This window comes from Homo sapiens, chromosome 11, assembly GCF_000001405.40.
Source record: "Homo sapiens chromosome 11, GRCh38.p14 Primary Assembly".
Taxonomy (NCBI): Eukaryota; Metazoa; Chordata; class Mammalia; order Primates; family Hominidae; genus Homo; species Homo sapiens.
In genome coordinates, this window is record NC_000011.10 from 41781396 (window position 1) to 41795050 (window position 13655).

General features: G+C 41.9%; 1 long non-coding RNA gene across 1 annotated transcript in view, besides 2 other annotated features; it reads left to right on the forward strand.

Annotated features, from left to right (window-relative positions):
- Positions 1 to 13655, forward strand: part of LINC01499 (long intergenic non-protein coding RNA 1499) — a 121875-nt gene that overhangs the window by 66828 nt on the left and 41392 nt on the right. The window lies entirely within an intron of this gene.
- Positions 6389 to 7076: an enhancer, noted in NCBI's record as "H3K27ac-H3K4me1 hESC enhancer chr11:41809334-41810021 (GRCh37/hg19 assembly coordinates)". NCBI's record gives its function as "activates a minimal SCP1, AML or CMV promoter by ChIP-STARR-seq in naive and primed H9 embryonic stem cells {active_cell/tissue: H9 hESC(naive and primed)}" and the evidence as "EXISTENCE:reporter gene assay evidence [ECO:0000049][PMID:30033119]".
- Positions 7077 to 7763: an enhancer, noted in NCBI's record as "H3K27ac-H3K4me1 hESC enhancer chr11:41810022-41810708 (GRCh37/hg19 assembly coordinates)". NCBI's record gives its function as "activates a minimal SCP1, AML or CMV promoter by ChIP-STARR-seq in naive H9 embryonic stem cells {active_cell/tissue: H9 hESC(naive)}" and the evidence as "EXISTENCE:reporter gene assay evidence [ECO:0000049][PMID:30033119]".

A 13655-nucleotide genomic window follows, 5' to 3' on the forward strand; every position in this document is an offset into this window, starting at 1 on the left:
TTTTTCTATTAACTTTCTATCCATAAATTTATTTAAATGTTTGACAAATTATCTTTCTTTCTTTCTTTTTAATAACCAAGAAATAAAGAAGGAAATGATGGCTCTGGGTACCAGCTGGCAGGTTTTCCACATAGTATAAAGCAGTAAATACCTATAAAAACATAGTTATTGAGACATCTGTAGTCAGCTCCGCAAAGAGAGTTAAATCCACGTTGTTCAGGTTGCAGTTATGAGAGTAAGCAGCCTAAGAATGGCTCCAGGGGAATTGGGAAATTTCTGAATCAGGGGATATATCTGAATGCTAATATTGACACTCCCTCTTATTATTTTTCTATATAGATGAGTTCATTGTTTTATATAGATGAGTTTGTTAGACTCTTTATCAGTCTAGCAAATATTTATTTTCCTGATATATCTTTTTGAGTATTTGTCCTAGAGCACAAAGTTCATAACTCTTGCAGCATCTGCTACAATATTTTATCTATTTTGCCAGTCATTTAGAAAATTATGATACTTTTTACCCTGTGGGCCTTTGTTATTACCTGAGCTTGTCACAATTTTTTAGAGGCTTTCAAAATTTTCTTTATTCCTTTGTGATCCCTAACTTTCTGCTTGTTGACATCATTAAACACTCTGCCCAGTATTGAATTTGGTAAGGAAACAAACTGAAAATAATACAAACAATATCTGTTGAAACACTACTATGTGCTAGGCATAACGGTGAGCTCTGAGATAACAAAAATAAATAGCACACAATCTCAGGATCCAGGGTACTCACATCAAATCATAGGGTTGGAACTGCATATAGTGGTATATACAAAGCACTATGCAAAAATATAAGACAAATGAATTATTGTGGGCAGGAATGGAGAAGTACCAAAGATGTGTTCACATAGAAAAATAAAAGAATAAGGCCGGGCGCGGTGGCACAAGCCTGTAATCCCAGCACTTTGGGAGGCTGAGGCGGGTGGATCATTAGGTCAGGAGTTCAAGACCAGCCTGACCAATATGGTGAAACCCCGTCTCTACAAAAAATACAAAAATTAGCCGGGCGCGGTGGCAGGTGCCTGTAATCTCAGCTCCTCGGGAGGCTGAGGCAGGAGAATTGCTTGAACCTGGGCAGCAGAGGTTGCAGTGAGCCGAGATTGTGCCACTGCACTCAAGCCTGGGTGACAGAGTGAGCCTCTGTCTTAAAAAAAAAAAAAGAAAAAGAAAAATAGAAGAATAAGTAAAATGTTATGTAGTGGGGAAGAAAGCAAGGATAGTCTGGAAAGAGAGATTAAACAATAAGTTTTACAAAAATATGAAAGAAGAGCATGATGTACCTCAGGAATTATAAGTAGTTTAATGAGATTGAAACACAATGTATACAGAGAGAGAGGTAAAGATAAAGCTAGAAAGATAACATCTGGTTGGATCACAAAAAGCCTGGGGCATCATTCTAAATGTTGTGAACTTTATTTTAAGCATGAGTGTGCTAAGATTAAATCTCAGCTTTTTGAAAGCTTCATGGGTAGCTATATGGAGAAGAAAGAAATAAAAGTTAAATGACCTGCCCTGAGATAGATGAAAATCTATTTAGAAGGCAAGACTTATGAAAACAGGGTAAGGCATAATTCAAAATGGAGTATGGTCAAGTGGAAAATCCGAGTCTAGAAAATATACGATTCACAACTACTGAAGTCGCTTTAATCCATTTTCCTTACTCCAGCTAGGGCTCTCTTGTAAGGAATAAATCCAACCACTTCAATCTCTGCATTCCGTGGCCCCTGAAATCTTTCAATAATTTTCTAATGCTTATAGAAAGACAAAATCAAACTTTTTCTGCAAGTCTTAGAAAGCTTTACCCTGTAGTTATAAGCAAACTTCCTCTCTCTTTCAGCATTTTAGTCACACTGGCTTTTAAAGGCCCCCATGTAGCAATATTTACCTTTACTATAAGGCCTTTGCATAGGCTGTTCCATATGTCAAAATACCCTTCCTGTCCTAGCCCTTCTTTCTTCTTGATAATTCCAAGTATTTAACCTGAAACGATACTTTTGGGAAAACTTTCATCAGCCTCCCTAATTTTTGCAAATCTTCATCCTTCAGTTTCATAATATACTATATAGTTCTTCTTCACAGTGTCAGTTGCAATTTGACATTATTGGTAGTGATTTGCTGTTTGCCTCTCACTAGACTGTAGGCTTCATGATAGCAGGATCCATATTTGTTGATGATCACTGTTCACTGTTGTATAATGAGCACCTAACACAATCCCTCATGTACAGTCAATATAAAGCAAACATTCTAAAATAAATGTTCTTAACATACCTTATCTCTGTATTTTTTCTTTGGTAGTAAACACTGCACACTTCAACTCCCTTTTTATCCTGAAATTTAGCCCCCAGGGATGGCTTAAACTCTCCTATGCCTATGAAATATTGTGTTTGTTGCCCAAGTTTAGAGACATGAGGAAGAGTTTCCTAAAAAATTATATCTTGTAAATCAGTTAATTATTTTTGTTTGGATTGTGGTGATTCTGTAATTGTAGATTAATTGGTTCCATCTGCTCTGTGATTTTCCAATTAATAGGTAATAACTTTCAAAAGTCAGTTCATTTCTGACATGTGTAGGAATGTATTTAAGATGGTAATTTTTCCCCCTATTGGTCTCTGTTGCTACTTTTTAAAAAAAAAAAAAAATCCTTTTCAAGTCTTGAGGCAAATAGCACTTTTTTTTTTTCCTGTTAGTTGAGGCCTTTCCAGGACAAGTCTTTCTGAACAAGGTCATAAACTTTTTTCTTTGCCATTGGTGTTCTAGGTTCATTTATTATTTGCTGCTGTTCCCAGTACTGATTAACGACAGTAATTTTTAAGGCTAGAGGTGTTTTATTATTTTTTTAATTTAAAAATTGACTGACTGTTTGATTAAGTTTTCTCCAGCTGAGTTTTCATATTAATAGAGATTCCTGGCTGCAGAATGCCTGCTGTAAGTGGATGGGGAGTGGGAAATAAAGGGAGGAGAGATTTCAAAATTATTTAAGCATAAATATTCAAGTCTATCTCTTCCTACAAGAAAGCTGACCTTAAATGTTCTATTACCTAATTGTAGATCTTTATGAAACCCTTGAAGTTTTAGAATACTCTATTACCTTTTTCTCTTGAGATACTGTGATAAAATAAAGAATAGATATCTATATTTTTTTTCCTGGCATACTACTTCTAAAGTATTTGGAATCTCCAGTGATGAGTCTTTTAGTGTGCTAATGAGATGACTGGTGGCTGGGAGCTCCTGGCGAACCTCAGAATGGGGGCTGGCTGCCAGGGGAACCAATCAGGTGATTAGAGGATTACAACTCTTGTCCCACCACTGACCTCCTGAGACTGAGAGGACCTGAAGGTTGAGTTGATCACCAATGACCAATGATATTTAATCATACCTAGTAATGAAGCCTCCAGACAAACACAAAAGATGGGTTTCAGAGAGCATCCAGCTTGGCAAACACATAGTACTGAGAGAGTGGCATGTCTGGGGAGGGTACGGAATCTCTGCACCCTTCCCCCATACTTTGCCCTATACATCTCTACTGTATGGCTGTTTCTGAGTTGTACCCTTCGTAATAAACCAGGAATCTAGTAAGTAAACTGTAATTCTGAGTTCTGTGAGCCATTCTAACAAATGACTCATACTGAGGAGGATGTAAAACTCTGATTTATACCTGGTTTGTCAGAAGCACAGGTGGTGACCTGGACTTATGACTCATGTCTGAAGTGGGAGTGGAGGACAGTATTGTAAAGTCCTTAACCTGTGAGATCTGCACTAACTCCAGGTGGATAGTGTCAGAATTGAATTGAATTATAGGACAGCCAGCTTGTGTCCCCAGAGAATTGGAGAATTGCTTGCTGTGGGAAAAAACCCCTTACATCTGGTGTCAGAAACAAAGTATTCTGGAAGCATCAGATGTAAGCATGGTAGAGAGAAAAGGGTTGGTTTTTCATTATACCTCTTTATCATCATAAATATCATCATCAAGGTTAAATAATTTTTAAAACGTTCCAAGTATTAATTTATATAAATTTGCTAAACAGTGGCAAAATGTGGGCTATACGGAAACTAGTCAAGTAGATAAAAACTTTCACTTGGACCAGTGTTTTCTTTGGAAAATGAAAATAATATACTATAAAGAATGAGAACACATACTATCAAATGATACTAATTTATTCATTTGCTTATTCATCCAACAACTACTTTTAACATTTACTATGTACCAGAAACCATTCTAGGTGATTGGGGTACCTCAGCGAATAAATCCGTCATAGATATCTGAGCCCTTATTAAGCTTACATTTTAGTGCAGGTAAGATTTTTACAAAGTACATAAAGTAAATGAGTAAATTAAAGACATTCACTTCAGGACATAATGGAGTTAACAAGGACTGGATTTATCTTCCTGCTAAAAACAATTAGAAAATCAGATCAAATATATAAAACAAGGGTTTTCAGACAATGGAAAGCAGGCAGCACAAAACTTGATACCTGAGAGAACATTAACAAACAAGGTTAGCCCTGTGATTGCACAAACTTACTGTATAGAAGCAGTTTCCAGGCCACAAGGCAGAGGGGAAGAATGCAAATAAAGCCCACATGTTTTGTTGCATTGAGAAATCAGAGTAGAGAGTATACAGAGGACAACATTGCTAGAATTTATGGATCAGAGCAGTGGAGGAAAGAGTAAAAATGTGACATACAAGATGGCATCACTCTGGTTGAGAGCTCTAAAATGGAATTGGAAAGCCATTCTAAAAAGGACTACCTGCAAAGCCTGCAACGTTGCAAAAAAACCAAACAAAACAAACAAAAAAACACAGGAAATTGCCTTGAACTTTTGAACTGGGCCAAGCCACTACAACCACAACAACCCAGAAAACAGCTGAATTTCACCAGCACTGCAACTCCTGAACAGAAATAACCCATGAAATATGCACACATATACAAAGCCAGCTGCCTTCAACAATGATAATTCTTTCAAAGCAACTTGTGTAATCACTTTTAGCTTCCTTTTCAAAACCCCCTACTGCTCTCCATCTCTTTGGAACACAATTTAGCATGTAGTCAAATCTGTGTCTTACAAATTGCAATACTTAAGACCCCAATAAACACCTTGACTTACTGCTTTACGGTTTGGTCTTTTGCCTTTTCTTGGTTGACACTACATGGTGTTCAAATAGAGCAGGATAAAAAGTCATTCCCCTTCTCTGTGTTCCAGTGCAGCTGCAAATTTGAGCACAGAACCTGCAAGAACCTCTTGTGTTCCATTGCCTCCCAGATGCCCTAGACTTGTTGGTGAGTCCTCTTATTTCCCCCACCTCCCACCTTTGTTGAGATCAGGCCTTTATTGAGGGTCCTTTGTTGCCAGTTATCAACAAAGTGATTTTTCCCCTTTGGGGGAGTACTCATGGGGACTTTACTTCAAAGGGTATAGGTGGTGAGTCAGCCTCTTCTGGAACCTCTGCTGGTTTCATGCACAAAAATTATAGTACTTCATCTTGTAAATTTCTTTCTCAATGGACCAACATCACTAGAAGTGATCTGTAATTACAGTGACGAACTGGGATCTTTTGATTTCCCAAAACTTGCTCTCCTTCCTGGACAATTTGAGCAGCTAAATGGAAAGATTAAACAGCCTGAAAGGAACTTCTACTTTAATTTGTTATCTTGAGGTAGATAAAAGACTCTAAGAATCTGAACTAGAAACTATAAGAGATATCGATGCCAAATTAAAAATTGGGAGAAAAAATCAGAAGCTTCTAAAAATGAAAGAAATCTTGAGTCAAGTATGCCTTTATCTATTTTTCCTTATCCTGTTGTGTCCGGAATTGGTGGGTTCTTGGTCTCACTGACTTCAAGAATGAAGCCACGGACCCTTGCCGTGAGTGTTACAGCTCTTAAGGTGGCGCATCTGGAGTTTGTTCCTTCTGATGTTCAGATGTGTTTGGAGTTTCTTCCTTCTGGCGGGTTCGTGGTTTCGCTGGCTCAGGAGTGAAGCAGCAGACCTTCGAGGTGAGTGTTACAGCTCTTAAGGCAGCGCGTCTAGAGTTGTTCGCTCCTCCCTGTGGGCTCGTGGTCTTGCTGGCTTCAGGAGTGAAGCTGCAGATCTTCGCAGTGAGTGTTACAGCTCATAAAAGCAGTGTGGACCCAAAGAGTGAGCAGTAGCAAGATTTATTGCAAAGAGCGAAAGAACAAAGCTTCCACAGTACAGAAGGGGACCCGAGCAGGTTGCCACTGCTGGTTCCCGCAGCCTGCTTTTATTCTCTTATTTGGCCCCACCCACATCCTGCTGATTGGTAGAGCCCAGTGGTCTGTTTTGACAGGGTGCTGATTGGTGCGTTTACAATCCCTGAGCTAGATATAAACGTTCTCCATGTCCCCATCAGATTAGTTAGATACAGAGTATGGACACATAATGTTCTCGAAGGCCACACCAGAGCAGCTAGATACAGAGTGTCGATTGGTGCATTCACAAACCTTGAGCTAAACACAGGGTGCTGATTGGTGTGTTTACAAACCTTGAGCTAGATACAGAGTGCTGATTGGTGTATTTACAATCCCTGAGCTAGACATAAAGGTTCTCCAAGGCCCCACCAGAGCAGCTAGATACAGAGTGTCGATTGGTGCACTCACAAACCCTGAGCTAGACACAGGGTGCTGATTGGTGTGTTTACAATCCCTGAGCTAGACATAAAGACTCTCCACGTCCCCACCAGACTCAGGAGCCCAGCTGGGTTCACCCAGTGGATCCCACACTGGGCCGCAAGTGGAGCTGCCTGCCAGTCCTGCGCCATGCGCTCACACTCCTCAGCCCTTGGGCGGTCGATGGGACTGGGCGCCCTGGAGCAGGGGGCGGTGCTCGTTCGGGATGCTTGGGCCGCACAGGAGCCCATGGAGGGGGTGGGAGGCTCGGGCATGGCGGGCTGGCAGGTCCCGAGCCCTACCCCACGGAAAGGCAGCTCAGGCCCGGTGAGAAATCGAGTGCAGCACCAGTGGGCCGGCACTGCTGGGGGACGCAGTACACCCTCTGCAGCCACTGGCCTGGGTGCTAAGCCCCTCAGTGCCCAGGGCCGGCAGGGCCGGCCAGCTGCTCCGAGTGTGGGGCCTGCCAAGCCCACGCCCACCTGGAGCCCCAGCTGGCCCGCAAGCAGGGCGCACAGCCCGGGTTCCTGCTTGCGCCTCTCCCTCCACACCTCCCTGCAAGCTGAGGGAGCCGGCTCTGGCCTTGGCCAGCCCAGAAAGGGGCTCCCACAGTGCAGCGGTGGGCTGAAGGGCTCCTCAAGTGCCGCCAAAGTGGGAGCCCAGGCAGAGGAGTCACCGAGAGCAAGTGAGGGCTCTGAGGACTGCCAGCACGCTGTCACCTCTCACTGTGTCACCTGCCCCTCCTAGCTATACCCATCCCATACCACTGACACTCTTTGCACCCTCTTGCTAATATGGTAAAAACTTATTGTAAACCTGGAAAATTATTTCCCAGACTCAATGAAGAGGCTTATTGAATTGAGTTACTATTAGAATATGTACGCCATTGGGAATTCCAGTTATCGGTGGCCAAAAGACAGATGTTTTAAATTTGAATGACTCCTATATTTTCTTGATCTCTCATTTTAAACAATTGCCTTATGTGTATTTATGGGAGCATCAAATAATTTTTAAAAAGACACATAATAGCGTCGTGACTAGATTTAGAAATTATCTCAATAAAATAAAAGAGCAGACTGACCTAAAAGCAAGTTAAAATTCCTTCTATGCTCAAACTACCTCCCTTGATTCCCTGTGGAATTTGCAAAATAAGACACACCACCCTGTGGTCTAGTAGCTGGGATTTGCACTTTCACTGCCATGGCTCAGGTTTGATTCCTGGTCAGGGAAGTAGTCTCGGCAGATATAAGTCCTTTAACTCTGGAAAAGAAAAATTGAGTAAAGCATTGTTCAGATATTTGTGTGACTCTTGACTTTTTGGGATATCTATTTGTTATTGATTATTTCCCTTCCTTTTTATTTTCTGTCTTATCAACTGTCTCTTTTAGTCTTTCATCTGCAGGGCATATGGATGGGCATGGTCAGCGTTTGTGTGGAGAAGGTCAGCTGAGAAGCTAAGATTCTAGAGAACATGTCCAGACAAGACAAAAATGTGCATTGTATCCCAGTTGTAGCTAGCAAAACTTTCGTTTCTTTGAAGTGTCTTTGAGTGCTTCCGGATCTTGAGAGGATCCTTTGCACCTCTTTGAAGATGCTTGTGCATTCTTGGTTAAGGTATAACCTTAGTTAAGGCATAACCTTAGTTAAGGCTTTTGTTTTGATGAGTCACTTGGAAGATACATTTGGTAAAAAGTTCAAAAGTCAGGAATATTGGATGTTTCTCCTGGCTAAAATCTGATAATAAGAGATTTGGAAAAACATTTATAAGAAGTCAGCTATGGTTAGAAGTCAGCTTAATGAAAAGATGATATTCAGGATATATATATATCTTTCTGTTTTTTTTTCTTCTGTGTCCTGTTTCTGAATTTTTTTTAAATCAACTACAACCACTTTTTAATTATATATTTGATCCTTTTGTTTGCTTTTTCTTTTTCTGTTGGCATAATTTTTGCTGACAAAAGTGTAAAATTCATTGGCCTTTCTGGGAAGCTTAAAATCTCTAAATTAGCTCCTCTAAGACTTGTTCTTTCATTTCCTTCCACTCCTCTTTTCTCTTTTCCACTTTCAATTCAACATAAAGAGACTTAAAAGAGATGTCTAGTGACTCTGAGACTTCTTGAGGAACATGAAGAAAGGTACCACAAATCTCCTTTTTAGGGTTTTGTTTTCCTCCTGGAGCTCCCAAAACCATGGGAAGGTTTTTCTTAGGTCTAAACCTCTGCTTTCATTTGCATTGAATGGCCTAATATTTTTGGCTTTGGGAGGTACCTGGTATTGATACAGAATGGGGGCAAGGAAGTACTGGGAGGAGAAGGGCAGATCTTTGTCTAGGGCTCCACCCCAAGGGTTATGCCCATGGGCCTAGGTGAGGACAGGCACTCCTGTCTTTGCACCCAAATGTTGCGTTTCCCAAGACCACCCTGGCCTGTCGTGCACCCATCTTGTGCCTATACAAATTCTGAGATCCTAATGGGCAGATGCACAAGTGGCTGGACATTGAGAGGAACACATCAGTGGATGAAGACACAAGCAGCTGGACGGTGAGAAGACATCAAGCGGAGCACACAGGCAAAAAAGCACATGACAGATGCTGACATGCTAGCAGGCCATCCACCAGGGGAAGGAGGTGGGGTTTGTCCAGGGCAGTCAGAGGAGCCTGAGCAGCCTGACTCCAGGGTAAAACCATCTCCCTTCTGGCTCCCCCATCTGCTGAGAGCTACTTCCACTCAATAAAGCCTTGCACTTATTCTCCAAACCCATGTGTGATCTGATTCTTCTAGTACACCAAGGCAAAAACCTTGGGGTACAGAAAGCCCTCTGTCCTTGATATAAGGCAGGGGTCCAATTGACTAACACAAGCTGCCTATGGACAGCTAAACTAAAAGAGCACTCTGTAACACATGCCCACTGAGGCTTCAGCTGTAAACGTTCACCCTAGACACTACTGTGGGGTTGGAGCCCCACAGCCTGCCCATCTGTATGCTCCCCTAGAGGTTTGAACAGTGGGGTGCTGAAGAAGTGAGCCACATCTCCATTGCATGCCCTGCAAGGGTGAAAAGGGAACTTTTCCTGTTTCAACTGGGGGCTTGTCCAGGATTGTGGAAAGTGAATGTGAGTGAATGTAAAACTGTCAGGTCTGCCTCTTTTCCAAAACTCTGCCGCTTTTCTCTCTTTCCTCCGAGAAAGAGGCTCTGTTTCCCTTCACAGAGTTTTTAAAAACCCTGCCCTAACCAGGCCAGTCAAAACTCTCTGATTTTGCCTCTTTTCCTCCCTCACACAGTTTAAAATGGCTCTTATCTCTTTCTTTATGTTAAGAGTTTTGCTACAGGCTGTGGCAATAAAATAAGCATTTGGCTCAGCTGCCAAAGGTGTAAGTCAGACAAATTTTTCCTAGAGGTTCCATGTATGCCTTCACCTGGACAGCCACAGGCACACATAGTTTAGAGTACCTCCTCTTACCCTTTACTCTCCCAGCTCTGGCACCTGGGCATGCCCACAGCAGGCAAAGGCCAAGTCCAATGGCCATGAGTGGCCAATGGATGGGCACTTCTTGCCTGCCACTCCAACAGAAGATTTCTCCCCTGGCAGAGGAATTCAACCCAGTTTGAACTGGGGGGAAGGGTTAGAGGAACCCACAAGCATTAAGTGAGGGTTTCTTCCCCCAAGATCTTTCCATTTTGCCCCTTAAACGGTTTTTCTCTTTTTTTAATTCTTTTCTAAGTGAGAGGGCTCCCCACTTCCAGCTCTGTTTCTGATCAGTAAGTTAGCAGAGGAAGAGGAACAACCCCTGCTGGCTGAGAAATGTAAATTTAGCAGGGCACATTTGAGACACTCTAAACAGATAAAAACAGCCTCTAAAATATATTTTCAGTCCCAAACTTGATTCCAAGCTTCAGACTGAAGTTGTAGAAAGAAAAAAACAGGTTGGAGGTATCCAAAGTCAGGCAACAGGCACAATGTAAGTGGGCAAGGCCAATTCTTGCTGACTCAACCCCACCCCACAGAAGGAGCCCATAGTTCATGGCATAAACAGGCCCAGGGAACTCAAGATTTGCTGACAGCAGGGAGAAATGAAGGCATAGGTGAGGGTGGTTAATTTCTATTCTCCAGGTTTTCCCTGCTTCATGGGTACATACCTCATTAGTACCTATGTCTGGCACCTGCCAAGGTCACTGGGGCTCAGGGATAAGGGGTGGAAAGTGAAGACAGGATGCTTGCTTTCTCTCTCCATCACACGCTGAATGTTAGCTGAAAGAAGGAAGGGAATGAGGGACACCTCAATTCCCTGTCTTTCAGAATGGGAAACCAGTTCTCTTCATCACCCCCAGCTTAAACTTAAATAGGGTAGATCCTGAACCATTGGAACTGCTTTGACTCTCAGAATCTGGAGGATTCTGAACAAGGGCTTGGCCAAATTTTGTTTTACAGGGAGGACTGGCTTGATCTCAGGAAGGAACCATTCATTTGATACCATCCAGCAGTTGGAACTTTTATGTAGATGTGAGGACACATGGTCTGAGGCCTCACATGTGCAGACTTTCTATACCTTGTAAGGCAATCGCGACCTTTGCCGACAATGTGGGATTGATCCAGCCCTCCTGTTTGCCATCTCAGGGAAGGCTGTAAGGGGCAAGCCCAGGGGATTAAAGATTCATGTCCGAGAGGCACCCCCAGCAGAGGAGCCAGCTCCCTCAAGCCCTGTTCCTCCAGGTCCCCCTTGAGCTTCCTATCCAGCTTCAGACTGTCACTTTCCCCATCCTAGAAATACTCGCCTTAAGACCCAGTCTCATTATTTCCCCTCCAGGGAGTGACCTTACTGGACCAGTAAGGTCCAGGTCCCCTTCTCCCTACAGGACTTAAAGCAAATTAAGGGGGATCATGGCAAATTCTCAGATGACCCTGATAGAGATATCAATGCTTTCTAGAATTTCACTAAAATATTTGAACTCTCCTTGAGAGACGTTATGTTACTTTTGAATCAGACCCTGCTGGTCACTGAGAAACATGCTGCTTTGAAAGCAGCAGAGAGATTTGGGGATGAGCTTTGTGTCACATAGAGTGTCAGGGGAGGGGATGAATATTATCGAACTGGAAAAGAAGCAGTACCAGTGCATGACCCTAAATGGGATCCCAGTGACAAGATGGAAGACTGGAAGAGGAGACACTTCCAGGCATGCATAATGGAGGGCTTACATGGGACTAAGACAAAGCCTCTCGGTTATAATAAGTTGTCTATGATCGACCAGGGATTTGATGAAAACCCCACTGCCTTCCTGGAGAGGCTAAGAGAGGCCTGGGTAAAGCACACCTCTCTATCTCCTGATTCAGTCAAGGGACAACTAATCCTAAAGGATAAATTTATTAATCAGGCAGCTCCTGACATCAGGAGGGAGTTGCAGAAATGTGTTCTGAACCAGACAATACACTAGAGGACCTCCTGAAACTGGCCACCTCTGTCTTTTATAATAGAGACAGGGAGGCCCAGGAAAAAGAGAGGAAATACAGGAAAAAACCAGAAACTTTAATGGCCACCAGGCAAGCCCACAAACCCCAGGATTCCCAGGGTGCACCTGTTAACTGCTAAAGATATGGCAAGAACAGTTATCTCTCTTCTAAAGTTTAACTGCTCCCATACAAGGTTTAATTTCTTTCAGCAGGGTGGAACAGCTCAGAATACAATGTTGTTGTTAGTATATTTTACTTCTTGTCACTGTAATCTATGGCACTAATTTTTTCCTTATATAATACACATGTTTAACCCATGCATACTTAACTTTATAACATTTATTTATTTTTTCTCATGCCTAGAAGCCATGAAACTCTAAATGGTCGGGCAACTAGAGCCTCGGGCAATGGCTCCCCTTTGCTGGGAACCCTTAGATACACCCCTGGGACGAATCTGACTGCTGTTATCCCCCAAAACAATGCCCCCTGTCAGAAGGAAGCAGGTAAAACTGGTCATCTTCCATATTCTAACAGCAGTTAGACATACCTCTTCAGAGCAGGGAAATGTTATGGGAGAAGGAGACCTGGACCTTATTGGGCCCAAATTCATTGGGCATTTGTTGAAGGGGTAAGAATGAGACTGCAGCATGTTTAAGGTGAGTATTTCTAGGAGTGGGCAAGTGAGAGGCTGAAGCTGGATAGGAAGATGGGGGTGATCCTGGAGGAGCAGGACTTAAGGGAGCTTGCTCCAAGCCCAATACCTCCCCCCTGGCCCAGGTGTGCCTCCTGGCCATGCTGGAAAGGATTAGATCCTCTGATGATTGTCTTAATAGCTGTGTCCTCTCTCCAGGACTCTTCACTCGATACATAACAATTAAAATTGCTTACTTCCTAGGTTTTTCACTGGAAATTAAGGTGATGTTTAAGGCTGTAGTGAATATATGTAATGAAAACTACTAGATATAAGAGAAAAAATTTTGCACACAAAGTTTGAAAGAAAAGTAAGATGTGTTTTTCATTAGGATGGTTATAAAACAAATAAGAATGTTATTTTTGTTAAAGGAAAATTATTTTGTCTAGTTTACAGATTATTGAAAGATTGTTTTAAAGTGAAGGAATAAAAAATGAATGATAGATAAAACTGAATGGATATAGAAAGGAAATAAAAAATTCTAAGAAGTTAGGAAAGGTTATAAAAATTTTATCACATGTGGTAAAAAAGTGACTGAGATTGCATGAATTTGTTTATAAGACTTTGTTAAAATTACATTTAGTATTAATAACACCATGATGCAAAGGTATAATGTGATTTTTTTAAGTAAAAATTTTGTACAGTATTAATATGAAATAGTAAAATACTTGTTCATCTTTGGAGTAAACTTCAAAAATAAATGAGGAGAGTTTTCCTGTTTTGTTTTGTTTTTTGTTTTTTTTTTAAAACAAGGTCTTGCTTTATTGCCCGGGTTAGAGTGCAGTGGTATGATCATGGCTCATTGCAGCCTCAACCCAAACCTTTGGGCTCAAGCAATCCTCCTGCCT